We start from the raw sequence: 27,498 nt of genomic DNA on the forward strand, positions 1-27,498 counted from the left end.
TGCTACCAGCTGCTCAACACCCTTTAAAAAAAAAAAGAAAAAGAATAATTTTGTGTGGACATCTTACACAAGTACTAAGAGATTCATAGATAAGAAGGCAACAGCATGAGTGTTGTTTATCAAGTAAAACTGCTTAGGTTGGTTAAGTTAAATATTGCTATGATTTGAATGTTCCCCCCACAACTCATGTTGAAACTTAATTTCCAATGTGGCAATACTGAGAGGTGGGGCCTTTAAGAGGTGATTAGATCATGAGTGCTTTGCCTCCATAATGGATTAACTCATTTATGGATTAATGGATTAATGAGTTAATGGATTAGTGAGTTATCCACTAATTGCTCTAATGGGAGTGGAACTGGTGGCTTTATAAGAAGAGGAAGAGAGGCCTGAGCTAGCATCACAACCCTTGGCATGTGATGTCCTGCGCTGTCTCTGGATGCTGCAGAGTCTCCCCCAGCAAGAAGCCTTTCACCAGATGGGCCCCCTCAACCTTGGAATTCTCAGCCTTCGTAACTGTAAGAAATAAATTCTTTTTCTGTACAAATTGCCCAGTTCCAGGTATTATGTTATAAGCAACAGAAAATGGACTAAAGATAAGTATTAAAGGACAGAGTATGTATTGACAAATGTAATGATTGAATGGTCTTTCAAGGATCTGAAGAGGTACTGCAGCTGTCAGAATGGAACCATTTCCCTTCCTCGCTGTGGCCCATTGCAGAATTTTAGGTGAGATAGTGAAGTGGGGATGTCAACAAAAGCTAAGCTATCAATCAAGTTACACTATGGGTGACTGGAACTTAATACCCCCAGAGAACACTGATAACATGTATTGATAGGGACCCCAGGGCTATCCCACCTAAGGCATGAGGGACCTGGTAAATTTACATAGCAAATTCCATTCCTCATTAATTGAAGGCTGCTCTGGTGAAAATGGGTGCCTCACTTTCCAGCATGTCCTGCATGCTACATGGGTGTCAAGGGAGGTTCCAGCAGCCAGAAAAAGACCTCAGGCAAGGAAGTGTAGGTGCTGGGGGTGGTGGTGGGACTGGCATGCCCTGAGTCTATAAGAGCACAGCCATATGGGCAGAGCAATGCGTGTCCCACAGAGGGCTTACCCAACCTCATTCAGGACTGAATCAAGAAGAGGAATAATTATAATTGTTGCTTCCATAATGTCTCCAAATCATTTAATGTCTGTAGAGTCTTAACGCAGCATTGTGAGCCCTATATTATTAAATCCGGCTTAAATATGTGAAGACTCAATTCTTCAAGAAGTTAGTTGCCTTCCCCAAAGTCACAAAACTACAAAGTGGTGGCATCAAAACTGTGGCTCAAATCTTCTGACTTTGCATTCAGGCCTCTTTATACTATATTTATATGGTATTATACAGACAGTCCCAAAGTTAGGATGGTTTGACTTATGATTTTTCAACTTTATGATGGTGCAAAACTGTTATACATCTATTGTACTTGAATTTTGATTTTTCCTCTTGTTCCAGGCTAGCAATATGGGGTAGGATACTCACTCCTGATGCTGGGCAGTGGCAGCAAACCACAGCTCCCAGTCAGCCATGTAATTACAAAGCAAACAACCAGCACTCTACAGCGCACTGTGTTGCCAGATGATTTGCCCAATTACAGGCTAACGTGAGTGTTCTGAGCACATTTAAAGTAGGCTAAGCTAAGCTATAATGTATGGTGGGTTAGATGTTTTCGATGCATTTTTGACTTAGGATATTTTTTAATTTATGATGGCTTTATCAGGACTTGACCCCATCATAAGTCAAGGAGCATCTGTATGTATGCTGTCTGTGCTAAACTCAAATGGAAGGTACACCAGAGCTTTCTGCCCTTCACTAAAATCTAAACATGGAAAAGGACGGTGTTATTCCCAACTCCCAAGTATGTGCTGTGATTACTCAAGGTTCATGGAGGATGTGGCCATGCTGCTCCGGATGGTTCAATCTCCATGATGATTGCTTTGCCACTTCTTAGTACTACATCCTATTACAGCTTTGAGTTCTTTGGGAGAAGTATTTAATTTCAGTTTATATTTTAGATAGAAAGGAAAGCAAAAAGGCTGTGAAATTGAGACATGGGGCACATTACATATGAAGCTATTTATCAGTGTATTTCTGGGAGACATTGGGCAGGGTAGACAGAGACAATAAATGGTAAGTGGAGGTTGGGTACTGGAGTCATGTAATTGAATCTGAAGGGAGAAGCTGCTACAGTGTGGCCTCCGTTGGTACTCCCACTCTCTCTTGACCACCCAGGGCCTTCTCACAGAGAGTCCATTTGGGCCTCCCATGCCCCTTGCAAACACTCCTTCAAACACATCTGTCTATTTCCTCCACGGACCTTGGTCTGTGCCTGATAACTGGAATACCAACCCATGTGCATCACCCACTGCCTAGGAGGTTTCCCTTCCCAAGACATTCATTATCCTTACCTGATACTTTCTAGAGATATAAAGGCTTCCACCAAAGGAGGAGATGAGCAGGACATGAGGTGCAGGAGAGAGCTCTCTGGAGCTCTCGGGGGTCAGGAAACCTTTTGGTACCTCGGCAATCAAATAATCTTTCAGGCTATAGCTACTATTGTATAAAGCTACATAATCTCCTGTCCCAAAATTCTCACAACATTCCAAATCTTGGGTAACTGTGCTTTCTCTCTTTCTGTATATATTTAAGAGTGTATAGACATGTATGTGTATATATATTTATATACATGTATATATATAATTTCAGTAACCTTTGGGGTAGAAGTGGTGTTTTGTCACATGGGTGAATTATGCAATGGTGAATTCTGAGATTTTTGTGCATCCATCATCCAGGTAGGGTACATTGCACCTGATGTGTCATTTATTTTATCCCTGGCCTCCCTCCCACACTCCCCCCTCTGAGTCTGTACCGTCCATTATATCACTCTGTACGCTTTTTTATATTTGTAGCTTAGCTCCCACTTGTGAGAACATACTGTTTTTGGTTTTCCACTCCTATGTTATTTCACTTAGAATAATGGTCTCTAGCTGCATCCAAGTTGCTGCAAAAGACATTATTTTATCCCTTTTAGTGGCTGAGTAGTATTCCATGGTGTATCTAGAACACATTTTCTTCCTCCCCTGATTAGTTGATGGGCACTTAGGTTAGTTCTGTAAATTAGTACTGTGCTATTTTCATAAAAGTGATTTGTTTTATCTCTAGTCATGGGTTAATATTTATACTTTTGTAGGTCTTTTGATGGAAACAATCACACATTAGAACAGATTCTTTAACCAGACCATATCTTAATTTATATTTATAGAAAGTCATTTCAGATGCACAGGTCCACACACCTGGACATTCTCCCCTGCTCATCCTTCACTCTTAACTAAATGACCCAGCTTTCCCGCAGCTCACATGTGACTGAAACCATGAGAGTCTGGCAGGGTAGAAGGAAGGCAGACCTGCTGTAAATCTGGGGTATGCACTGCCAGAAGGCTAACGTTACAGTTTATAGATGTTAAACTGGCAAAATGCACAGTGTGTCTTATGTACATTCAACAATTTCTAACTACTGAGAGTAGGATGGGTGTGTAATCCATATGTTTCCTCAGTGCCACAAGTCATGAAGAAAGGAAAGGAGGAGGGGCGGAGGGGTCGGGGGGAAGGGAGAGAAAGAGGAAGAGAAAGAAGGTCAGAGAGAGAAGAGAGTCCTATTTCCTATGGCAGTTCTCACACAACAGTTTAATACAGATTCACTCCACCTGCCTTCTGCAGCCTGTTTTTGTTTTTTGTTTTTGTTTTTGTTTTGTTTTAACTTCTCTTATGTTCTCTTTCTAGAGGTTTGACCGAGGAGGAAAGAATGGCAGTTCCACATCATGACTGTCAACTGAGCATCTCAGCTAAGCCATGTAACAGGTGAACTGGAAGTGTCTTTCCTGGTGGGTGAGCCAGGCTTCTAATTTTTTAGTTTTTATCCTATTGCTGCGAACGAGTCTGTGACTGTTTTCTTTTAGGCTACACCTGCTCTGGGTAATGGAGGGAAATTGCCTGAAAAAGAAGTTGCCCGTTGCAATTTCCAGAGTAACAATGGGCTTGGGGAAACAAAAATCTGTTTAAAAAGATGTACTTTTCAATTATTTTGTGCCTTGTGTACTGCTAATGGTACTGCTTGTCAATTGCTATTAATGAGGATAATTCTAATAACAGTCACATTCATCTGTGATGTTTCTCAACCAACTGTGAATAAACATGCCGTAGGTCTTCCCTGTTTCTCTTGATGGCACAGTCTTGGTGGTTCTTGTAAATGTGAAGCTGCCTCTGGGCCAACTCGACAGACCAGTGTACTGGGGACAGGTGCTGAAGCCAGGCAGGAAGGCAGCTGTCTTCCTCAAAGAACAGGCACCAGCCTAGTTGCAATTCTCTTCCCATCACTAGAGGACTCAGGACATTTGTGTTCCTTTCAGAACAGGTGGGGGAGAAAAGGAAGAAGCAGCAGCAAGGAGTTTTCCCCAGAGAAAGAGGACTGGCAGTGTCCGCGGCAGGGAGGCAGCACGCTGGCTTGGTTTCCATCTTGCTACAATCCCAAATATATCCATGAGTAGGGAGACAGTAGTGGGTTTCCAGGGGAGATGGAGAAATGATGCTAGTTAATGTCCAACACAGGACATTAAAAAATAGAAATAGTGCCTCTCCCTTATTCACTCTGTCATAAAATTACCAGAAGCTGAAGTCGTGAGAATGGCCGGGGAGCTAGCGGGGAGCATGGATGTGACCATGCAGGACCCATGGCTGGAGCCACCTGGGGGCAGCCAGGTATATCCTGGCCACACAAACTGCAAAGCCCACTGCTCTTGTTTCTTTCATTTGAAGTGTGGAGGGGACGTGATAAAAATGGAAATGACCCTTTGTTCAACCAAGAGGCTGACCAAACCACCAACTGAGGCTTTGATTTAAAACTTGCCTAACTCAGAATCAATTGTGGTAAACTGAGGCCCATTGAGACAGTAGTTTATTAGTGAGAAAATAAAAAATAAGGGTTTTGTGCCTATTTTTAATTGGCTTAGGATTATTAAATATCCCACAGCCCCTAGGGAGGGTTGGGGTTAAATTTCATTTACTTTCTTACTATCGGCATTTAGCAATTAATGTAAAGGCTCTTGGACATTCACTATTAAAGCTATTTGGACTGTACAAAAGGTGATATGAATACTGATTTTTAAACACATGTGCTATATTTGCCATTACTGTAGAATTTTTTAGGTGATAAGGATGAACTACATCACCAGGTTGACATTCCAATTCAGTGGGTATCATGGAGGGACTCTGTGATGTTCCAGAACCTGCAGCTGCTATTATTATCTGATCTGTCTCGTGTGCTACAGTGGATATTTGCCCAAGCTCATATACATTTCTCTGCAAGGTCTATTGAATGTCGCTGGTATTCGTAACATAATAATCAAAATGAATTGTTGCTCTGGTGGTAGAATGAATACACAGGGCTGATTAATCCACTTGCAGAAACCCTGAAATGAAGATGAAAAACATAATAACAGCCACCCTTAACATTAACCCTGTGGGGCTTTTTATTAATTGGTCCAGATTTAAGCACAGCTTTTAATCAACTTGGAGGCTTTTAAGTCTACATCACCAGAACTGCTTGTTCATCTCCAAGAACAGTGAATTAAATGTTGAACAAATGTCAGGGAAGGTCCTTTTAAGAGAGCTCATCTTAGGACATTTCATCTACAACCACATCTTATAATTAAGCAGTGCAGCCACGCACCTGATCAAGCCTATATCTGGAGACAATTTGCTTTCAATTTTTTATAGAAGAAGGAAGAAGGGATATCTCCATGCTGTGGATGAGACACTCCTGAATCTATACCTGGGTAATTCAAGCCAAAACAAGCACTCTTGTGAGAGAGTGGTGCGGGGAAAGAAATCTTACCCAGACGATGGATTCAAAACACCAGGATAATAAACTGGCCAATAATGTTGATTTTAGCAGAGGTCTTAACATGTTTGAGTTTCAAGGAAACCTTTGAAATGTTCTCTCCAGAACAGTGAAAATATGAACATATATATGTCCTAAATGCAAATGAAATGCAGGGGGTTATGGATCCTTGAATGTCTACCCTCTGACTGAAAGGTAGGAGACCCAAGTCAGATATTTTCATAACAACTAGTGGTGTTTCTTTGATAGGCCTCTCTACATCTGTTATTATTGGTTTGTTGCCTGTCTTTCATGTTGGCCTATAAGCTCTCTGAAGGCAGAGGCTATGTAATCTGGGTTCCAAACATGATACCTTGAGGCATGGTGCCTTGGCATGCTGCATATTTTTGAGCTGAAGGAGATTGTGAGGGTTTCAGAAACAAAAGATCTCTCTGCCCTTCTTCCACTCTACTTTCTCGTCCTCCTTCTCCCCCTTTTGGGTATAAAAACTAGAACCCCTTTCCCCAGAGAACCAAGCCATCCAACCTAGGAAGGTCACTGTCTGGCCTCCTCCATGTGCCCCTGAAGATCCTCTTGTGACAGGTGTCCTGTTCTTTGTGGGAAGGAACGCCATGCAGAGATACAGACAAGCATATGAACATATAGACCTTGCTAAAGTATCCCACAGTTTATTACCATTAGATCACACCCCTTGTGTCCAATGACATTTCCCCACAACCATCACTTATTTCATCAGACTTCATATAAAAATACATCGTTTTCCCTGGGTCTTTGGGTCTTCATTTCTGAAGACTCCCATGTCACATCGAACATTGTTAAGTAAATTTGTCTTTTCTCCTGTTACTCTGTCTTTTGTTATGGAAGTGTCAGCCATGAACCTTGCAATGGGTAAATAAAAGATATCACTTTTTCTCTCTTACAATCTTTATTACTGAACCCCAGCATATAATGCAAGGCCCAGGACATAGGTAGAAGTCAACAAATATTTATGAAATTATAAGGAAGAATATTTCTCTATTAAACATTTAAATTTCTTGTCTAAGACAAAATAATGCTAAGATTAAAAAACAGTAGAAACAAATACCCAAAATTAAGAGAAAATTGATTATTCCCAGGCCTCCAATACACATGGTTAACTTTCACTGTAGCTGATTTACCTAATGATAATGAACTCATGGAAAGCAGTGTTTGTAATTATATCTGATTCATTTAGTTCTCTAACCAGCAGTGTTCGAACCTCAGCATGCATAAGAGCTACCTGGAGAGGTTGTGAAAGCATAGATTGCTGGATTTTACCCTCAGATATTGTTATTCTGGAGGTCTCGGGCTTGAAATTCTGCTTTTCTAGCAAGCTCCAGATGATGCTGACACTGCTGGCCCAAGGACTGCACTTTGATGAGCAAGGTTCTAAATTAGCCCATGAAGCGATTCTAATGATCTCATTTTACAGATAAGAAATCTTGAGAGTCACATCAGCCCCAGGTAACACAACAGAGCTGGAGGTCTGAAGACAGACCATTAGACTATGGTTTCTGTTTGTGAGTTCTTACTGTATGGTGCAACTCTACATGTTGGCCAGAAAAGCATCTTCTTCACATCTGTACTTTGTATTTCTCATAAGGTTCTTCTTTAGGAGATAGGACTACAAAGTAATTAAGCTCTTAATTTGTTTTATTAGAGAAACACTGTAGCAGAAACACTTATAGCAGCATTAACTCAATTTTAAAGAAAAAAAGTACATCTCTCTAAATCTCTCAATTTTATCTGAGGTTTCTTTTTGCATTTTTGTCAAAAGCATGGTAATTTTTAAATGAATGTAATCATGGTGAATGTAGAATTTGTGCTCAATTGTATTTAACATATTGAGCATTTTTCATTAGGTTGCATTTTTCATTAGGTTGCATTATTTTGATGATGGTTAAATAAATATACTAAGATATGCATGTGCAACTGAGTGTTATCAGTTCAATATAATTACCTTGAGAGGCTATAGGTCTACTCCATTGCAAGGGAGTTAATCAAACATATTTAGGATACATCTTTTGAAAAATTGTCTGATTTAAAATCTCATTCTTATGAAATACTAAATTCGAACTCATTTGTGAGCCGTTTTCTCTTCCATTAGCCCTCTTTTATGCATGTTTTAGAGAACTAGTTTTCTAGAATAGCAGTGTTATTCAGCCTTAATATTGGTTTTGATCATAAAGGGATTACTCAAGTTACCCATAATTATTAAGCTTGCTTGGCTCTGAAGGACTTTTGCCATTTCCAAAATGCAAATGTATCTTCAGGGGGTCAATACTGGCCACTACTGAGGATGTTTTAAACATGCCCTAGGGGACATGGAGAAGACGTACATGTTGTGGTGTGGACGGTTCCCTACTTTATGGTGTCACTCCAAAATTGACCTGTAAATCCCTATAAAAATGTACTTTCTTTAGAGTGGACTAGTGTAAACTTCTTTTGAAAATATAAATATATGTAAATGATATATTCTCATCTATTTATATGAGCAATTCAGTAGCCTAGGTCTACTGGTCTCCATAATGCTACAATAATGAAATCATTTTGGTACAGGGGCATGCACAAAAGCAGGGTGAATGAAAGAGAAAAGGGCTCACAAATGAGTTTGAATTCACTATTTCATAAGAATGAGATTTCAAATCATTGTGAATTGATAGATATTTTAGTTTATGGAATTGCGACAATATTAGCTTGATATTTGGATATAATGTAGAGGATCTTTATCTAAATTGCTGCACTGAAAAATAATGCAGATGGGTGGGAGTCGGGTGAGGGTTAAAAATGTACCTACTGGATAAAATGTATCCTATTTGGGTGATGGGTGCATTAAAAGCCCAGACTTCATCACTATGCAATATAATGCCTTTGTACTCCTTGAATCTATAAAAATATAAAAATAATTTAAAAACTCAGATGCAACAAAGATTTGAGCACTTAAATAAAGCTAAACTGTAAAACCACCCAAAGAAAATATGAAAGACTGATGCATTTGACTATACAAAATGCAAAGTTCAGTGTGGCAACAATGGCATATTATAAACAAAGGTCAAAAAATGATAAACTTGGAAAAAATATTCTTAGCATGTAAGAACAAAGAGTAATTTCCCTTAATATATAAAGTATATACCCAAAGGATTATAAATCATTCTACTTTGAAGACACATGCACACCTATGTTTATTGCAGCACTGTTTACAATAACAAAGACTTGGAACCTACCCAAATGCCCATGAATGATAGACTGGATAAAGAAAATGTGGCACATATACACCGTGGACTACTACACAGCCATAAAAAAGGATGAGTTCATGTCCTTTGCAGGGACATGGATGAAGCTGGAAACCATCATTCCCAGCAAACGAACACAGGAACAGAAAACCAAATACTGCATGTTCTTACTCATAGTGGGAGTTGGGCAGTGAAAACACATGGACACAGGGAGGGGAACAACACACATTGGAGACTGTCGGGGGTGGGGGGCTAGGAGAGGGATAGCATTAGGACAAATACCTAATGCATGCGGGGCTTAAAACCTAGATGATGGGTTGATAGGTGCAGCAAACCACCATGGCGTATGTATACCTATGTAACAAACCTGCAGGCTCTGTACATGTATCCCAGAACTTAAAGTAAAATAATTTTTAAAAGTACTCTTGCAAATCAATAATATAAGGCTAGAACCACAACAGAAAAATGTACAACAGATAAGACAAAAAAACAGAACTACAAATAGTCTATAGACCAGCAAAAAGCTGTTCAACATCAGTCCTATTAAGTAGAGGCACATTAAAACAAAAATGAGAATTTTTAACCCACCAAATTAGAAGCCATACTAATATTTAATAATTTATAGTATTACTAACAATTTGTTAAGGGAACTAGGCAGTCTCACATGCTCTTGATGAGAGTATGAATTTCTGCAACTTCATTGGATATCAAAGTAATGATTAAAAATCTACCACAAAATAAAATGTGCATATACCTTAAACCAGAAATTTTACTTCTAGGAATTTATCTTACAAACACACTCATAAATGTGCACTGAAACATATGTGTAAATATGCTCATTACAAAATTGTCTATAATCTTTTAAAAAATGAGAAGCAATGTAAAGTCGATAAGAAGGGGAATGGCTATATAAATTATGAAATATCCATTCAATAGAATACTAGATAATTACAAAGAATGAAGTAGAGCTTTGTATGCTGACAAGGAAAAAATCCCCAAAAGATATATTTTCAAATTAGAAAGGAGGAAGAAAGACAAGACAAATTGTAGGCTAGCATATAAAGTTTACATATTATGCTTCTGTATTTTATGAGGTGAGTCTTCAAGGTTAAAAAATAGTATCTAATGTTTATTTAGTTCTCCCTATGAGTAAGTACATATCTCATCAGAATATCATGAAGGTGAAATGAGGTGATGTACGTAACAATCCATGAGCTATGTTCCAGTTATCTATTGCCATGTAACATAACATTTGAGCACTTAAGTAGTTTAAAACAATAAGGATTCATTCATTGCTGTAATTCTGTCTGTTGTCTGGGTGGTGTTTCTGATGGCCTTACCTGGGCTCCCTCATATGCTGCATTAAGCTGGCTAATTGGCCAGGGTTTGAACTTATCTGCAAAGCCTGGAATGGCTGGACCTCTCTCTCCACATGGCCTTTCACCTGGGCTCCTTCCCGGGGAGTTTCTCCATATCATGGTGGTCTCAAGACGGCATTCCAAAAGAAAAGCCTCGGTGCACAAGAACTTAGCAGGCTTCTACTTGCTTCAAATTCATAAGTTTCATGACTTATAGGAGAGTCAACTTGGAAATGGAAAGCAGGAGGTAAGATTTTCTGGGAGCCATTATTGTATAAAACTATGGCAAGATTTGTATAATCTCTTCCTTTCTTACTAATGAGAAAACCCCAGGCTTAGAAAGAATTAAATGACTTGCCAAAGGTCACAGTGCTACTAAGGAGCAGAGTGGAAAGTTCACCCTTGATATTTTGGCTCCAGACAATGTGCTCTTGACCAGTACTCTCTGTAGAATCCCACCGTTTTCCCTAACTCAAACCACCTACTTTCTCTTTGTATCTTTAATTTTAACTTCAGTTTCCTTTGTGTACCATTTTAAACCAGCTGTTTCCAAAGCATACTCCAACTTCTGCTTTCTTTCACGTTTGGTTGATCCGATTAAACTTCTCTTGGAGCCTTATTGTTGCATTTTGTTGTTGTTGTTGTTTTTGAGACAGAGTTCTGCTCTTGTTGCCCTGGCTGGAGTGCAGTGGCATGATCTTGTCTCACTGCAGCCTCTGCCTCCCGGGTTCAAGCGATTCTCCCGCCTCAGCTTCTCAAGTAGCTGGGATTACAGGATTCCACCACCACACTCAGCTAATTTTTGTATTTTTAGTAGAGATGGGGTTTCACCATGTTGGCCAGGCTGGCCTGAAACTCCTGACCTCAAACGATCCACCCACCTTGGCCTCCAAAAGTGCTGGGATTACAGGCGTGAGCCACTGAGCCCGGCCATTGTTTGTTTATATGCTCTGCTAATAATGGTTTGGCTCTGTGTCTCCACCCAGATCTCATCTTGAATTGTACTCCTATAATTCCCATGTGTTGTGGGAGGGACCCAATGGGAGATAATTTGAATCATAGGAGCAGTTTCCCCCATACTGTTCTCATGGTAGTGAATAAGTCCCACAAGATCTGATGGCTTTATCAGGGGTTTCCACTTTTGCATCTTCCTTATTTTCTCTTGCTGCTGCCATGTAAGAAGTGCCTTTCACCTCCCGCCACGATTCTGAGGCCTCCCCAGCCACGTGGAACTTTAAATCTAATTAAGCCTCTTTTTCTCCCCAGCCTCTGATATGTTTTTATCAGCAGCGTAAAAACGGACTAATACACCTGCCTTTCCTCAACTCTCTGCATTTAACTGCCTCCTGGAATGTCTTCTCCTTTCATAACTGCCTCTCAGAATCCCAGCAATACTTCAAAGTCTATTCTGCATATCATACCTTCAACTAAGTTTTCTAACCCCAAGGCAATACTGATTGTTGCTAATGATCTAACACTTTATATTAACACTCTTAACATACATCACAATATTTAGGTATGAAACTTTTATGTGACTTTCAGCCAGCAAGATTGCAAGCTCCTTAGATGTGAGAGGTCTGGAAGAATACACCTTTGCATGCACCATTTTGCTGACAATAACATCTTATAAATGTCGAGCTTTGACTGAATGACTGTGAAGATGCCTTTTTTTCTGATTTGTAGTCCCTCTTTAAATATTCTATAACAGTGATGTTTAGACTCCATTGTGCATAGGAATCAGTTTTCAATGAATGGAATTGAGACAGGTTAGTTAGATATATGAAAACTTAATTTTGTTGTTCTCTATCTAAATTGGGTAACTTATTAAAATGCTAGTAGTTTCTGATTTCACAGGTCTATCTTAGGGTCTAATATTCTGAATTTTTGACAGACTTCTAAGCATCTAAGTGATGCCGATATTTCTCATCCATGGACCATACTTTGAGTAGTAATATCCTATAAGACACAATTCTTGGAGCCCAACCCTAAAATAATACAGCAAGAGTACTATAAAGCAAGCTATTATCTATAAAACAACCAATAAAATAGTTAAAATGAGAGTATTCAAGGTAAATTCAGTACAATTTCCACCACCAATTACAATCCAATGTTTATGGCCTTTGAACCCTCTGCTAATCCTGGTTTTTGTTTTGACCTGTTAGACTGAAGATGTAAAAAATAACCACTAATGTAGACTTGAATGTCTCGCTAGTTTATATTTTTCTTAGTTTATCTGAGATGATTTCAAAGATGAATGTGTCCTCATAATATCTTTCTTAGTTTCCCCAGCTTCACTGTAGTCCTGTGTTAGTCTAGTCTCCTAACTGCAACCAATATGGTCACATTACAATGCAAATATGGTTCTCTCTCTCTGTCTCTCTCCTTAGTTAAAAACCATTTGTGGATAAAGTCTGAACTCTGTGTATGGCTGGCATTGCCACTGCTTATCTCTCCAGTCTTTATATTCCATAATCCAATTGTATCATATGTGATAGTCTAGGTTTATGTTGAATAAATATTCACACATACCTCCTCAATGAGGGAAGAGTGTATTCCTCCATCTCATGGCTTTGGGCTTAGACACAATGACCTGTCATGAGAAGAACATGTCTGAGTGATTGCTGTCAGTAACTGCTGGGTAATTTCAGCATGGTCCCTAAAATAAACACATGGAATAATGCCTGACTGCAATCCACATTTGGACCTGGACCTAAACCTAGAAGAATGAGAGTCTAAATCTGAGACATCCTTCTGAGCTCATTGTAGATCAGCCAACCTATGAATGAAAGAATAAATGCTTATGGTAGGAAATCACTGAACTTTCAGGTGACTTGTTACACAGCATTCTTACAGCTGACTGATACATCACCAGCCTTTCATTTCCTATCATTTTTCTATCTCTATTTCTCCTCTGGGATTTTATACAGACCATAATTTCTGCCTGAACCACTCTTCCCCTTACCACTCCTGGTCTGGCTATCTTCTCTTTATCTTCATGGTCCCAGCTTTGAAGAAACTTCTTCCTCTGAAAAGACTTCCTTGCTCTGAGATCTAGATAGCATATCCTCCTATGTACCTCAGCATCATGATGTACTTCCCTAATAGTTTTTCTTATCCATTATAATTGCATAATTAATTTTCCTTCTCTCTCACTCAACTGTAAACTTCCAGAGAGCAGGAGGTATATCTGCTTGGTTAATTTTGGAATCCCAATGCCTACGACAGGACTGGGACGTTTTAGAGCTATTGATGAAATCTTGTGGAAACACTTCAATTTTGAGTATCTGCATTTTATTTTGTGACCTTGTTTATGTCCTATAATGCCTTTGCTCTTACCTGAAGTTAAAGCCAGGTTGATAACTGTTAATAGTAATTTAATATTGATAACTACTAATTATAGAAAGCAGAACTATTTGGCATTAAAAAAAAACAAACAAGCAAATAAGAAAATGAGCAAAAACAAGGAATGCATTTGAATAATAATATACCATGTACCTCATACTTTCACATGAGCTGGGAAGGAGGAGAGCTATCAACTACTCTATAAATAAGATAGCAGCTGGTTGCATTGGAGATTCTCATATTTCATGACTGTTGAGAGGTGTGTTTTGAGCAATGAGATTCATGGAGACACAAGTTAATTTAACTCCTGTCAAAAGGCGATAGGATGAGAATGCCAGTTTGTCTAGGAAAAGAGATGGTGACCCCTTTGGAGGAGACAGCAATGGATTAAAACATCCCATATTTTGTTGAGAGAATCTTCACATTAGATGTTAACTTTCTCACTGGAACTTGCATTTTTATATGATTCCATGATATTTCAAGGCATCTAGGACATTTTATCTGCTCCAATTTTCGATCTGCTTTTTGTGCTGAATTTCTTTCTCTTTAAGTCCCTTGGGAGCTGCAGTCATAGCCATGAAACATGCCATATAATCAATAACCAACCAGCCAGCCAACCAACCAAAGAAATAATATTTGCCTGTATTTTAAAAATATGTCATAGTTACAAAAGACAAAGAAAAGCTGAGCAGCTATCACAGATTAAGCTCTAAAAATAAATAACAGCTGAAGATGGTATATGATGTTGAGTTAGGTTCAAACTTTTAAATTTTTTTCATGAAAGATATTACTGCGACAATTATTGAAAGTGGATTATGGACTGCAGATTATGTGGAAGTGTTAAATTTAATGTTAAATATCCTCATTTTGATAACTGTTTAGTTTTATGTGAGAAATTGTCTTTGATTTTAGGAAATATGTATTAAAGCATCAAGAAATAAAAAAGCATGTTGTCCTCAACCTACCATGTAATAGTTCAGACAAGAAAAATAGACTAGTATAGCAAAATGGTAAAAGTCAATGAATATAGGTAAAGAGTGCATGAAAGTTTTTGTACTATTCTTGTAAGTTTTCTGTGAACTTGAAATTATTACACATATTTTTAAAGTTAAAAAGGAACAAACTTCTAGATTTGTTTGCAGGTCTACAGGGCCCATTTTAGTGAGCTTTCTGCTTTTGGAATTCACTGAACCACATGGGGGCACTAAATCCTATGTTCCTATACAACATCAAACTCCAGGGGTCCCATGCCAACATCCGCATGAACTTCAACAGTCTCGTATCTGCTCCACTACTAGAATGTGCTGATTATTCTCAGATAGCTGGAGCACTGCAGAACAGCTACAGAGCCCAGAGTTTATGCTGGAATCATAAACTAGATCCAGATAAAGCAGTGGTTCCAGAGTTTCTGTATGATGGGAGTTGGGAGGCCACAGTCGGCATTGGATGAATGTTTAGGAGTGCCTTGGGAGATAGTGAGAGAATAAGGGGATAAACCCCTGAAGAACACTTACTGGTGCTGCTGCTGATTCATATATTAGAATAGATTTATTTCTTTTGCCCAGATGTTACTGCAAGGCCAAAAACAAAGAGCAACTACAGCACAAGGTTCAGAGCAAGGAACGAGCTGAGACTATCTGAAACAGAGTTAGCTTCGCTGAAGTCATTTCATAAAAAGAAATTACCAGAACCAAACAGTGCTCCTAAATGAACAATAAAATATACAATAACATTAGCTCTCATTTTCTATATATGCAAACATCCACGCCAAATAAAACTCTTAGAGCTACATGAAAGTCTGTTAGTAAGTAATTTACTTTTTGGTGTAACTGATCCAAAAACTTATTTTGCTCTCAACTTTAACTGTTTACTTTCTCTAGGCTGTTCTGAAAACAAGCACACAGACACATACCAAAAAATTAAAATCCTTTATAACACTTGGCCTGTAATTTTAAGGATACATTATACGTTAAAATAAAAAGTTTTATGTTGCCTTTATAAACCATTCATTTTACGTTTTCCTTCAAATTGGGTGATTTATTTACTCATTTAACATTTATCCAATACCTACTCTAGTAGATATGTAAGTGCACCACCATAGCCCCTTGGCCTTCCCTGGAAATTGTCTACGGATTCATTAAACAATTCCCACTTTTAGCATTTGGGACTCTCGGCTTAAAGGCTTTCTGTGGCTGCAAGCATGGGCTGAAGGGATAGACCAGAAATGATGAGAAGTTACTGTTCCCTGTAGCAAGCATCAACCAATGAGGGGTGGGAACCCGTGGATAAGAACTTCAGCTTTTCACTGCCTCAGTGAAATAATTCTGAGGTGTGTCCCATGCAATTTTCCCAGTGGGGTTATCCAGTTGCACATGATGGAGACTTGCTCAACACCACACCCTTTACTGGTTGTCTTCTCTTCCCTCTTTCACTTTCCCAATCCCTCACCTCTGTTTCTTGGGTTGCATCTCAAAGAAATTACCTGAACCAAAGTTATTGTCTCTGTGTATTCAAACCAAGCCACCTTCTCTGCCCAAAGGACTGGTCTATGCATGACAGAAAAAGTCTCTGCCACAAGACAGAAAATGTTTCTCCTCTCCTGGAGCTTACCTTCAAGTGGAAGAAGCAAGCTCAACCAAGTAAACAGTTCAGAAATAGAAGACATTAGGAGTACTGAGGAGTGAAGATGTAATATAGGATAATAGGAGAGAAAATGGGTATGGAGTATCTGCTGGAAGAAATATTGAGCAAAACTAGGACATGAAAAAAGGGTAAACTGAAGATGGCCGAAAAGGAACAGCTCCGGTCTACAGCTCCCAGCGTGAGCGATGCAGAAGATGGGTGATTTCTGCATTTCCATCTGAGCTTTGAAGACAGCAGTGGTTCTCCCAGCATGCAGCTGGAGATCTGAGAACGGGAAGACTGCCTCCTCAAGTGGGTCCCTGACCCCTGACCCCTGAGCAGCCTAACTGGGAGGCACACCCCAGTAGGGTCAGACTGACACCTCACACGGCCGGGTACTACTCTGAGACAAAACTTCCAGAGGAACGATCAGACAGCAGCATTCACCGTTCATGAAAAACCACTGTTCTGCAGACGCCACTGCTGATACCCAGGCAAACAGGGTCTGGAGTGGACCTCTAGCAAACTCCAACAGACCTGCAGCTGAGGGTCCTCTCTGTTGGAAGGAAAACTAACAAACAGAAAGGACATCCACACCAAAAACACATCTGTACATCACCATCATCAAAGACCAAAAGTAGATAAAACCACAAAGATGGGGAAAAAACAGAGCAGAAAAACTGGAAACTCTAAAAAGCAGAGCACCTCTCCTCCTCCAAAGGATCGCAGTTCCTCACCAGCAATGGAACAAAGCTGGACAGAGAATGACTTTGACGAGTTGAGAGAAGAAGGCTTCAGATGATCAAACTACGAGATACAGGAGGAAATTCAAACCAAAGGCAAAGAAGTTAAAAACTTTGAAAAAAATTTAGATGAATGGATAACTAGAATAACCAATACAGAGAAGTGCTTAAAGGAGCTGATGGAGCTGAAAGCCAAGGCTCGAGAACTACGTGAAGAATGCAGAAGCCTCAGGAGCTGATGAGATCAACTGGAAGAAAGGTTATCAGCAATGGAAGATGAAATGAATGAAATGAAGCGAGAAGGGAAGTTTAGAGAAAAAAGAATAAAAAGAAATGAACAAAGGCTCCAAGAAATATGGGACTATGTGAAAAGACCAAATCTATGTCTGATTGGTGTACCTGAAAGTGACGGGGAGAATGGAACCAAGTTGGAAAACACTCTGCAGGATATTATCCAGGAGAACTTCCCCAATCTAGCAAGGCAGGCCAACATTCAGATTCAGGAAATACAGAGAACGCCACAAAGATACTCCTCGAGAAGAGCAACTCCAAGACACATAATTGTCAGATTCACCAAAGTTGAAATGAAGGAAAAAATGTTAAGGGCAGCCAGAGAGAAAGGTCGGGTTACCCACAAAGGGAAGCCCATCAGACTAACAGCGGATCTCTCGGCAGAAACTCTACGAGCCAGAAGAGAGTGGGGGCCAATATTCAACATTCTTAAAGAAAAAAATTTTCAACCCAGAATTTCATATCCAGCCAAACTAAGCTTCATAAGTGAAGGAGAAATAAAATACTTTACAGACAAGCAAATGCTGAGAGATTTTGTCACCACCAGGCCTGCCCTAAAAGACCTCCTGAAGGAAGCACTAAACATGGAAAGGAACAACCGGTACCAGCCGCTGCAAAATCATACCAAAATGTAAAGACCATCGAGACTAGGAAGAAACTGCATCAACTAACGAGCAAAATAACCAGCTAACATCATAATGACAGGATCAAATTCACACATAACAATATTAACTTTAAATGTAAATGGACTAAATGCTCCAATTAAAAGACACAGACTGGCAAGTTGGATAAAGAGTCAAGACCCATCAGTGTGCTGTATTCAGGAAACCCATCTCACGTGCAGAGACACACATAGGCTCAAAATAAAAGGATGGAGGAAGATCTACCAAGCAAATGGAAAACAAAAAAAGGCAGGGGTTGCAATCCTAGTCTCTGATAAAACAGACTTTAAGCCAACAAAGATCAAAAGAGACAAAGAAGGCCATTACTTAATGGTAAAGGGATCAATTCAACAAGAAGAGCTAACTATCCTAAATATATATGCACCCAATACAGGAGCACCCAGATTCATAAAGCAAGTCCTGAGTGACCTACAAAGAGACTTAGACTCCCACACATTAATAATGGGAGACTTTAACACCCCACTGTCAACATTAGACACATCAACGAGACAGTAAGTCAACAAGGATACCCAGGAATTGAACTCAGCTCTGCACCAAGCAGACCTAATAGACATCTACACAACTCTCCACCCCAAATCAACAGAATATACATTTTTTTCAGCACCACACCACACCTATTCCAAAATTGACCACATACTTGGAAGTAAAGCTCTCCTCAGCCAATGTAAAAGAACAGAAATTATAACAAACTATCTCTCAGACCACAGTGCAATCAAACTAGAACTCAGAATTAAGAAACTCACTCAAAACTGCTCAACTACATGGAAACTGAACAACGTGCTCCTGAGTGACTACTGGGTACATAACGAAATGAAGGCAGAAATAAAGATGCTCTTTGAAACCAACGAGAACACAGACACAACATCCCAGAATCTCTGGGACACATTCAAAACAGTGTGTAGAGGGAAATTTGTAGCACTACATGCCCACAAGAGAAAGCAGGAAAGATCCAAAATTGACACCCTAACATCACAATTCAAAGAACTAGAAAAGCAAGAGCAAACACATTCAAAAGCTAGCAGAAGGCAAGAAATAACTAAAATCAGAGCAGAACTGAAGTAAATAGAGACACAAAAAAACCTTCAAAAAATTAATGAATCCAGGAGCTGGTTTTTTGAAAGGATCAACAAAATCGATAGACTGCTAGTAAGACCAATAAAGAAAACAAGAGAGATTAATCAAATAGACGCAATAAAAAATGATAAAGGGGATATCACCACCAATCCCACAGAAAAACAAACTACCATCAGAGAATACTACAAACACCTCTACGCAAATAAACTAGAAAATCTAGAAGAAATGGATAAATTCCTCAACACATACACTCTCCCAAGACTAAACCAGGAAGAAGTTGAATCTCTGAATAGACCAATAACAGGATCTGAAATTGTGGCAATAATCAATAGCTTACCAACCAAAAAGAGTCCAGGACCAGATGGATTCACAGCCGAATTCTACCAGAGGTACAAGGAGGAGCTGGTACCATTCCTTCTGAAACTATTCCAATCAATAGAAAAAGAGGGAATCCTCCCTAACTCATTTTATGAGACCAAAAAAGAGAATTTTAGACCAATATCCTTGATGAACATTGATGCAAAAATCCTCAATAAAATACTGGCAAACCGAATCCAGCAGCACATCAAAAAGCTTATCCACCATGATCAAGTGGGCTTCATCCCTGGGATGCAAGGCTGGTTCAATATACACAAATCAATAAATGTAATCCAGCATATAAACAGAGCCAAAGACAGAAACCACATGATTATCTCAATAGATGCAGAAAAGGTCTTTGACAAAATTCAACAACCCTTCATGCTAAAAACTCTCAATAAATTAGGTACTGATGGGACATATCTCAAAATAATAAGAGCTATCTATGACAAACCCACAGCCAATATCATACTGAATGGGCAAAAACTGGAAGCATTCCCTTTGAAAACTGGCACAAGACAGGGATGCCCTCTCTCACCACTCCTATTCAACATAGTGTTGGAAGTTCTGGCCAGGGCAATTAGGCAGGAGAAGGAAATAAAGGGTATTCAATTAGGAAAAGAGGAAGTCAAATTGTCCCTGTTTGCAGATGACATGATTGTGTATCTAGAAAACCCCATAGTCTCAGCCCAAAATCTCCTTAAGCTGATAAGCAACTTCAGCAAAGTCTCAGGATACAAAATCAATGTACGAAAATCACAAGCATTCTTATACACCAATAACAGACAAACAGAGAGCCAAATCATGAGTGAACTCCCATTCACAATTGCTTCAAAGAGAATAAAATACCTAGGAATCCACCTTACAAGGGACGTGAAGGACCTCTTCAAGGAGAACTACAAACCACTGCTCAATGAAATAAAAGAGGATACAAAGAAATGGAAGAACATTCCATGCTCATGGGTAGGAAGAATCAATATCGTGAAAATGGCCATACTGCTCAAGGTAACTTATAGATTCAATGCCATCCCCATCAAGCTACCAATGCCTTTCTTCACAGAATTGGAAAAAACTACTTTAAAGTTCATATGGAACCAAAAAACAGCCTGCATCGCCAAGTCAATCCTAAGCCAAAAGAACAAAGCTGGAGGCATCACACTACCTGACTTCAAACTATACTACAAGGCTACAGTAACCAAAACAGCATGGTACTGGTACCAAAACAGAGATATAGATCAATGGAACGGAACAGAGCCCTCAGAAATAATGCCGCATATCTACAACTATCTGATCTTTGACAAACCTGAGAAAAACGAGCAATGGGGAAAGGATTCCCTATTTAATAAATGGTGCTGGGAAAACTGGCTAGGCATATGTAGAAAGCTGAAACTGGATCCCTTCCTTACGCTTTATACAAAAATCAATTCAAGATGATTAAAGACTTAAACGTTAGACCTAAAACCATAAAAACCCTAGAAGAAAACCTAGGCATTACCATTCAGGACATAGGCATGGACAAGGACTTCATGTCTAAAACACTAAAAGCAATGGCAACGAAAGCCAAAATTGACAAATGGGATCTAATTAAACTAAAGAGCTTCTGCACAGCAAAAGAAACTACCATCAGAGTGAACAGGCAACCCACAAAATGGGAGAAAATTTTCACAACCTACTCATCTGACAAAGGGCTAATATCCAGCATCTACAATGAACTCAAACAAATTTACAAGAAAAAAACAACCCCATCAAAAAGTGGGCAAAGGACATGAACAGACACTTCTCAAAAGAAGACATTTATGCAGCCAAAAAACACATGGAAAAATGCTCACCATCACTGGCCATCAGAGAAATGCAAATCAAAACCACAATGAGATATCATCTCACACCAGTTAGAATGGCAATCATTAAAAAGTCAGGAAACAACAGGTGCTGGAGAGGATGTGGAGAAATAGGAACACTTTTACACTGTTGGTGGGACTGTAAACTAGTTCAACCATTGTGAAAGTCAGTGTGGCGATTCCTCAGGGATCTAGAACTAGAAATACCATTTGACCCAGCCATCCCATTACTGGGTATATACCCAAAGGACTATAAATCATGCTGCTATAAAGACATATGCACACGTATGTTTATTGCGGCACTATTCACAATAGCAAAGACTTGGAACCAACCCAAATGTCCAACAATGATAGACTGGATTAAGAAAATGTGGCACATATACACCATGGAATACTATGCAGCCATAAAAAATGAGGAGTTCATGTCCTTTGTAGGGACATGGATGAAATTGGAAATCATCATTCTCAGTAAACTATCGCAAGATCAAAAAACCAAACACGGCATATTCTCACCATGGGTGGCAATTGAACAATGAGAACACATGGACACAGGAAGGGGAACATCACACTCTGGGGACTGTTGTGGGGTGGGGGGAGGGGGGAGGAATAGCATTGGGAGATATATCTAATGCTAGATGAAGAGTTAGTGGGTGCAGCGCACCAGCATGTCACATGTATACAATGTAACTAACCTGCACATTGTGCACGTGTACCCTAAAACTTAAAGTATAATAAAAAAAAAAAGGGTAAACTTTGCTGAGATCTTTAAAAAAGAGATCAGGTAAAGAACCCAATAAAGTCAGACTCTTGGGTCAGAAACTAGGTAGGGCATTCCAAGGGGAAGTTTGGCTGGAGAATAGAAAAAAGAAAGAAAATCATCACATGAGCTTAGAAACACTGGAACCACTGATATACAAAAGTATTTTTATCATAAACAATTATATTTATATTTTGGTTGGTTTGTATTGTCCTACAAACAGTTAGTACAATAGTAACTAACTTGGAATATATATTCGTTCATTCAACAAACATTTTCTAAACATTTACTATGTACAGATACTATTTTAGGAATGTAGAAAACATTCTAGAGAGCAGTAAACCATTAAAAACCTTCCCTTTTATTTTAAATCACTGTTATTAAACACAGCACCTTAAATCATCTTTTCCTATCCCATTGCAATTTTGGCTCAATGTCATAACCATTGTAATCAATTTCCATTTTTAAAACTTAATCAAATCTGGTTTGATACTTTATAATCTGTGTGAAGATCTCTTCTTCCCTTAACTCTTCTAGATTTGAATGTTTCCAGTAGAAAAGAGAAACAGCAAGTGCCTCCTAATGATAAGATACAGTAATTATTATTGTTGTGGGGATGTGACTCTCTTCTTGCTCTCAGCAGATCTGTTTCCATCTTATATAGCTGGTCTTCCAGTAGGTATCTGTGGTTTTCCTGGGATAATGCTCAGGTTTGCCCTGGCTCTTCTGTGGGAAGCTCCCTTAAAGAGAGACAGCGGAGTCTTCATTTAGCCCTGGCACTGGTCTATCCATGCTTCCAACTCCTTTTTATGGTAAAGATTCCACTACTTTACTAGATAGAATCCCTGTAACTCATGCATCTCCATTAACCTCCATGATCCTACACATGGAGCCACCGGAACAGTTAAAGTTCTTGTTCTCACTCTCTAAGGGTTACAAAAACAACAGTACTACACAATACTTCCCAAGCCTGATGCATGAACCACTTTAGAGGGAATTCTATCTTTATAAATCATTGAACTAAAAGAGGACACTGGACTCTATGTTCATGTACAATGCCAAACTCTTGTGAACCTATGTCAAGAACTTCCATGAACTCTGACAATAAACTCTATTTCAATCAGAAATTTTCTGCAGGTTCTAACCCTTGGTACAAATCCATCCTGAGATGATATCAGGTTCCCTTTTTTATAGCATAGCAGCCCAAGACTTTATAAATCTTCCCTTAAAGGGTCCCACAACTTGGCTTTAGAACTTAGGAAATCACACCTTTCCTCTTGGTTATTATAGGAGAATTGTAGTAGATGCTGTAAGTGCCATGGCCTCATCCCCTTAGCTGCCACCATTCCAGTACACACGTACAGCATCCTACCAAAGACACCTGACTTTCACCTAAAGGCTTTCTTTCAACCTCATATGGGGCAGATCAGAAATGTTGAGATGCTGACACCATTGAGAACAGCCCTCAGAAAGAGAGGATAGGAGTGGGTGTTTAAATACCCCCACTTTCACACCCCTCACGTAGGACAACTTGGTGGCATATTCTATGCTCTGTCCTGGAGTTCCCCAGAAAGATAGGGACTCAACTGTTTTCAGTGGTAGCCTGTTCCATAACACACTTAGTTGAGTGTTCTTTTCTTTCCTTTCTCTCTCTACCTCCTCCGTTGGGATTTCCTGGGATTTTCCTGGGATCTATCCCAGGAAATCACATCCCAAATAAACCACTTACATTTGAAATCTACTTCAAGATGGACTCCCCCCCAAAAAACAATGGGGCACCACATTTTATGTGTCCTTCTCTGCTTTGAGAATTAGCTATAATTTTGTCTCATTAGGAGAAGTTTCACCCAATGCTAGATGTATTCAACTACATTTGTATTCACATTTACATTTATATGTAAATAAATAAATATCTGACAAGTATCTGGTTACTTAGATCAGGATGAAACATCTTGTGGTTCTTCAATCTCAGGGTTTTCATGAATAGTACCCAGTAGCTTTTCATCACATTGTTTTGTTCTGTAACAGGGCATCTGAACTTCATGCTAGTGCCTTTTTGAGCTGAAGATTTTATAGCTCTGTGAAAGTTCTGGAGCTCCCAGCACACGGGGGTTGAATATCAGAGTGTCTTTTTTCAGTAACACTCTGAATTTAAAAGAGTGGAAAAGACTTCAGGTGAGAAGGGAAATAAATGTTGTCCTCCCAGCTTAAATGACTCAGCAAAAATAGCCACTGAAGACTACAGCCTAGGTTCATGGACCAGTGGGCAGAAGATTTTTGACACATTTCTGATACCATTACTGGCTAAGCAAATACTTTGTGTTTTTCAGTTGTCTCTGTTAGAGGACACATCCTTAGTCCTTTAATACCATGGGGTAAGTCAATGTATCAGTGACATGCATGGCACCAATTTAAAGACTAGTTTAAGGGATTATATCAGGAAACAAAGAAACACATACTAGAATCTTATTTTGCAACAACCATTTGGCTCATAAGAACATCAATAGCAAAGATTGGGCTGTGCTATCCATATTTTCAACCTTGAAAGGGAATTCAGAAGATGATCAGTGCCAGTTCTGCCTTCACCTGAAAAGACAAAGCCAAAAACATCCTTGATTTAATTGGATAACCCCCAAGATCTGGGATATCTGCTCATCTCAAGATCAAAGAGTCTAGCTTTATTCTACATCATAAACTTTATTCTCACAAATTGATTACCTTTTTCTTGCCGGTGGAGAGCCTTGGCAGATGATCAGAGTTTCTGACTCTCAAAGCTAGTCATATTCACGGTTGTTTTTATAGCCAATCTCGTGGACACTAAGCACTTTCCATAGGAACTTTACCTGCCCCTATGAGGCAGAACATGGTGTATATCAGAGTAGGGGTCCATGAGCCAAAATCTTTTCTTATTTCAGAATCATAGCCACAATCCTACCATTTTGGTCAGATTGGATTTCATCTTTAATACTTATTCTAGTGGCATTTTCCAATATTCATCTCCTCCATAGCTAATAACCTTGTTTTGGGATTATGTGTTTAACCAAAACAGCCAAACAACTTTGACCCTGCTAAGGGGATAGAAAAACAAAAGGTAAGAGTAACTGTAAACCAGATGACATATCAGTTGTATTTCCCTTTGTTTTTGAGTGGCCTATTTGCTAGATGAAAGCTAAGATCAAAATATCTCATATACACCTGGACACTTAAGTCAGATGAAAATATCTTGTAAATTATATGCCCCAGGGGCTTAAAAAACACCCCTTCCGGTTCCCAGAAACAGTGAAGCTTGAAGTTTTTGATGAGGACACAGATGAACCAGAAGACAGAAACCCCAGACTCAATTATCGATCAGATGGCAATATATTTAGGGAAACACTAGGGAAAAGGAAACTAATGTCCTAGTCATCTGTCCCGATTATGAAGGCTGTGATATAAAATCCTCGCACTAACCTTGACCTACACCTTTAGCCCACTTCTGACATAGGACTAGAACCCCTCATTCAAGGTGTCCTCAAAACTCCATGGTCACAATTTCCCTTGCCATTGGTACCAGAATCCTGTCTCACCTCAAGTCTCCAAGTCCCTGATTGAAAAATAAGAGGTGCAAGTTTACTACGTGTTTTTCACTGAGCGTCCCATTGTTCCTGTCGTAAAGGACCCATCGATATCAAGTCACTGCCTTCCTGCTCTCAGCTGATCACATTCTCTGCCATGGTGGCAGCTCCTCAGCAGGAAATGTTGAGGTCCAGAGAACACACAGGCAGAGCCCTGTTTCTAATGTTGCCATCCCGGTTGTGCATTTCTCAGGACCCAGTGTAGGCAAGAGTGTCCTAGAGCCCAGAAATAATCAGGCTGGAAATGCTCCTAGGCTTGGAGAAGACTCATTCAGGGGCAAAGCTGTAACTCCTATCGACACAGGGCAGGGCCCAGGTAACTGTGACATAACTGTCTTAGCCTATCTCCTTCCATGAAGAAATAGAGAACTAGAGGAGGCTCAAACAGGGCTCTTTAGGTAGAAATAGTGAGCTCATTACCAAGAATGTGTGGCAGTCATTAAATGATATAGAATAATGCAGTGTCTATCGATAAAGCCCAAGGAAAAAGACTCTCTTGTTGACAACCTGAAGGGCAGGTTACCACTTTAGTACTTTGGTAGATGCTGCTATAGGGGTATCCAAGTTACCTTTGTTTGTCCTTTGTCAAAGAATGAGCCCTGTCCAGATTGTGAAGCTTCTATCAGTTGGAAACTCCAGAACAGTATTAAAACAATGAACAAACTGCCTCAGCCCCCATGTTAAACTGATGTTAAACTGATTGAAGGCACTACATGGGGGGAACTCAGAGGAAAATATCTCAGATTTGCAAACAGTCTGGATTAGAGAATGCCCCAAAAAGATGTCCCAGAACTTAACCCACTGACATCCATTGATTTGAGTTTGGGAAGAGCTCAGAAGGGGAAAAACAAACAAACAAACAAAAACAGAATTAAACTCATCTTTCTGTGGGGTAATTCTTTCTGTTTGCTAAATAAATTAACGGAGTAAATAAAAACATAGAGCTACCAATTCACCTTAGTTAAAGGAATAACTTAGGTTCAAGTACTTTAAAAACCCTAATTATGACATGTTGCTAATCATTCTTATTTGTTTTGCATAAGGAATTGCCTACAAATCAATACTTCCATCCCTAATTCACTTTATTTTACGCACTTGAAGCTGCTTTAAACTGCCTTTCCATAGCCACTTGTCCATAAGTCAGGGTTTTATTAAAATAGCCAGTGCCCCTCTGAAGGTTTAAAACTCAGAGGGGCACTGGCTATTTTAGGATTTACCTCCCAGCCACACTAACCGGAATGTTCACGTCTTGAGAAGTATAAAATCTACTGAAAAGTGGGCCACTGCTTCCCTTTCTAACCAGCAATTTCAGGTGAGTCCCTCTCCCCACTGTGTTCTGTGTTGTCATGACAGAACACAAACAAACAAAAATCACCTGCAACCGTTTCTGGGGGAGACACCTCAGTGTTTCAGGATTAGAGTTTTAGGAAATAAAAATCAAGTTCACTAAATATTTCCTTCAGTGTATAAAGTCTGCCATCAACCATTCCGAAAGCAAAGAAGCAATATTTGAGGTATCGTGGAATGTAAATACTAACTGGCTTGTGAAGGAGCTTTTTACCGCATGCAGAGTTTGTAAAGGGGCTTGCAATGCACTGCTATCACTGTTTGGATCGCCTGTGCAAGAT

General features: G+C 39.4%; 1 long non-coding RNA gene across 5 annotated transcripts; it reads right to left on the bottom strand.

The window, feature by feature from the left end:
* Positions 1-5,200: 5,200 nt before the first annotated feature.
* LOC105372532 (uncharacterized) lies at positions 5,201-27,208 on the bottom strand. 5 transcript variants are annotated; one of them, XR_937266.3, is made up of 6 exons: positions 27,105-27,191; positions 24,975-25,105; positions 24,716-24,842; positions 13,079-13,139; positions 10,532-10,775; positions 5,432-5,509 (listed from the first exon to the last, which is right to left on the bottom strand). It is a non-coding gene; the product is annotated as an uncharacterized LOC105372532 (long non-coding RNA). The 5 variants fall into 5 exon arrangements; XR_937267.3 differs by lacking the exon at positions 10,532-10,775 and having other exon boundaries at positions 5,426-5,509; XR_937268.3 differs by lacking the exon at positions 24,716-24,842.
* Positions 27,209-27,498: the final 290 nt, after the last annotated feature.

Source organism: Homo sapiens, chromosome 20 (genome assembly GCF_000001405.40).
Source record: "Homo sapiens chromosome 20, GRCh38.p14 Primary Assembly".
NCBI lineage: Eukaryota > Metazoa > Chordata > Mammalia > Primates > Hominidae > Homo > Homo sapiens.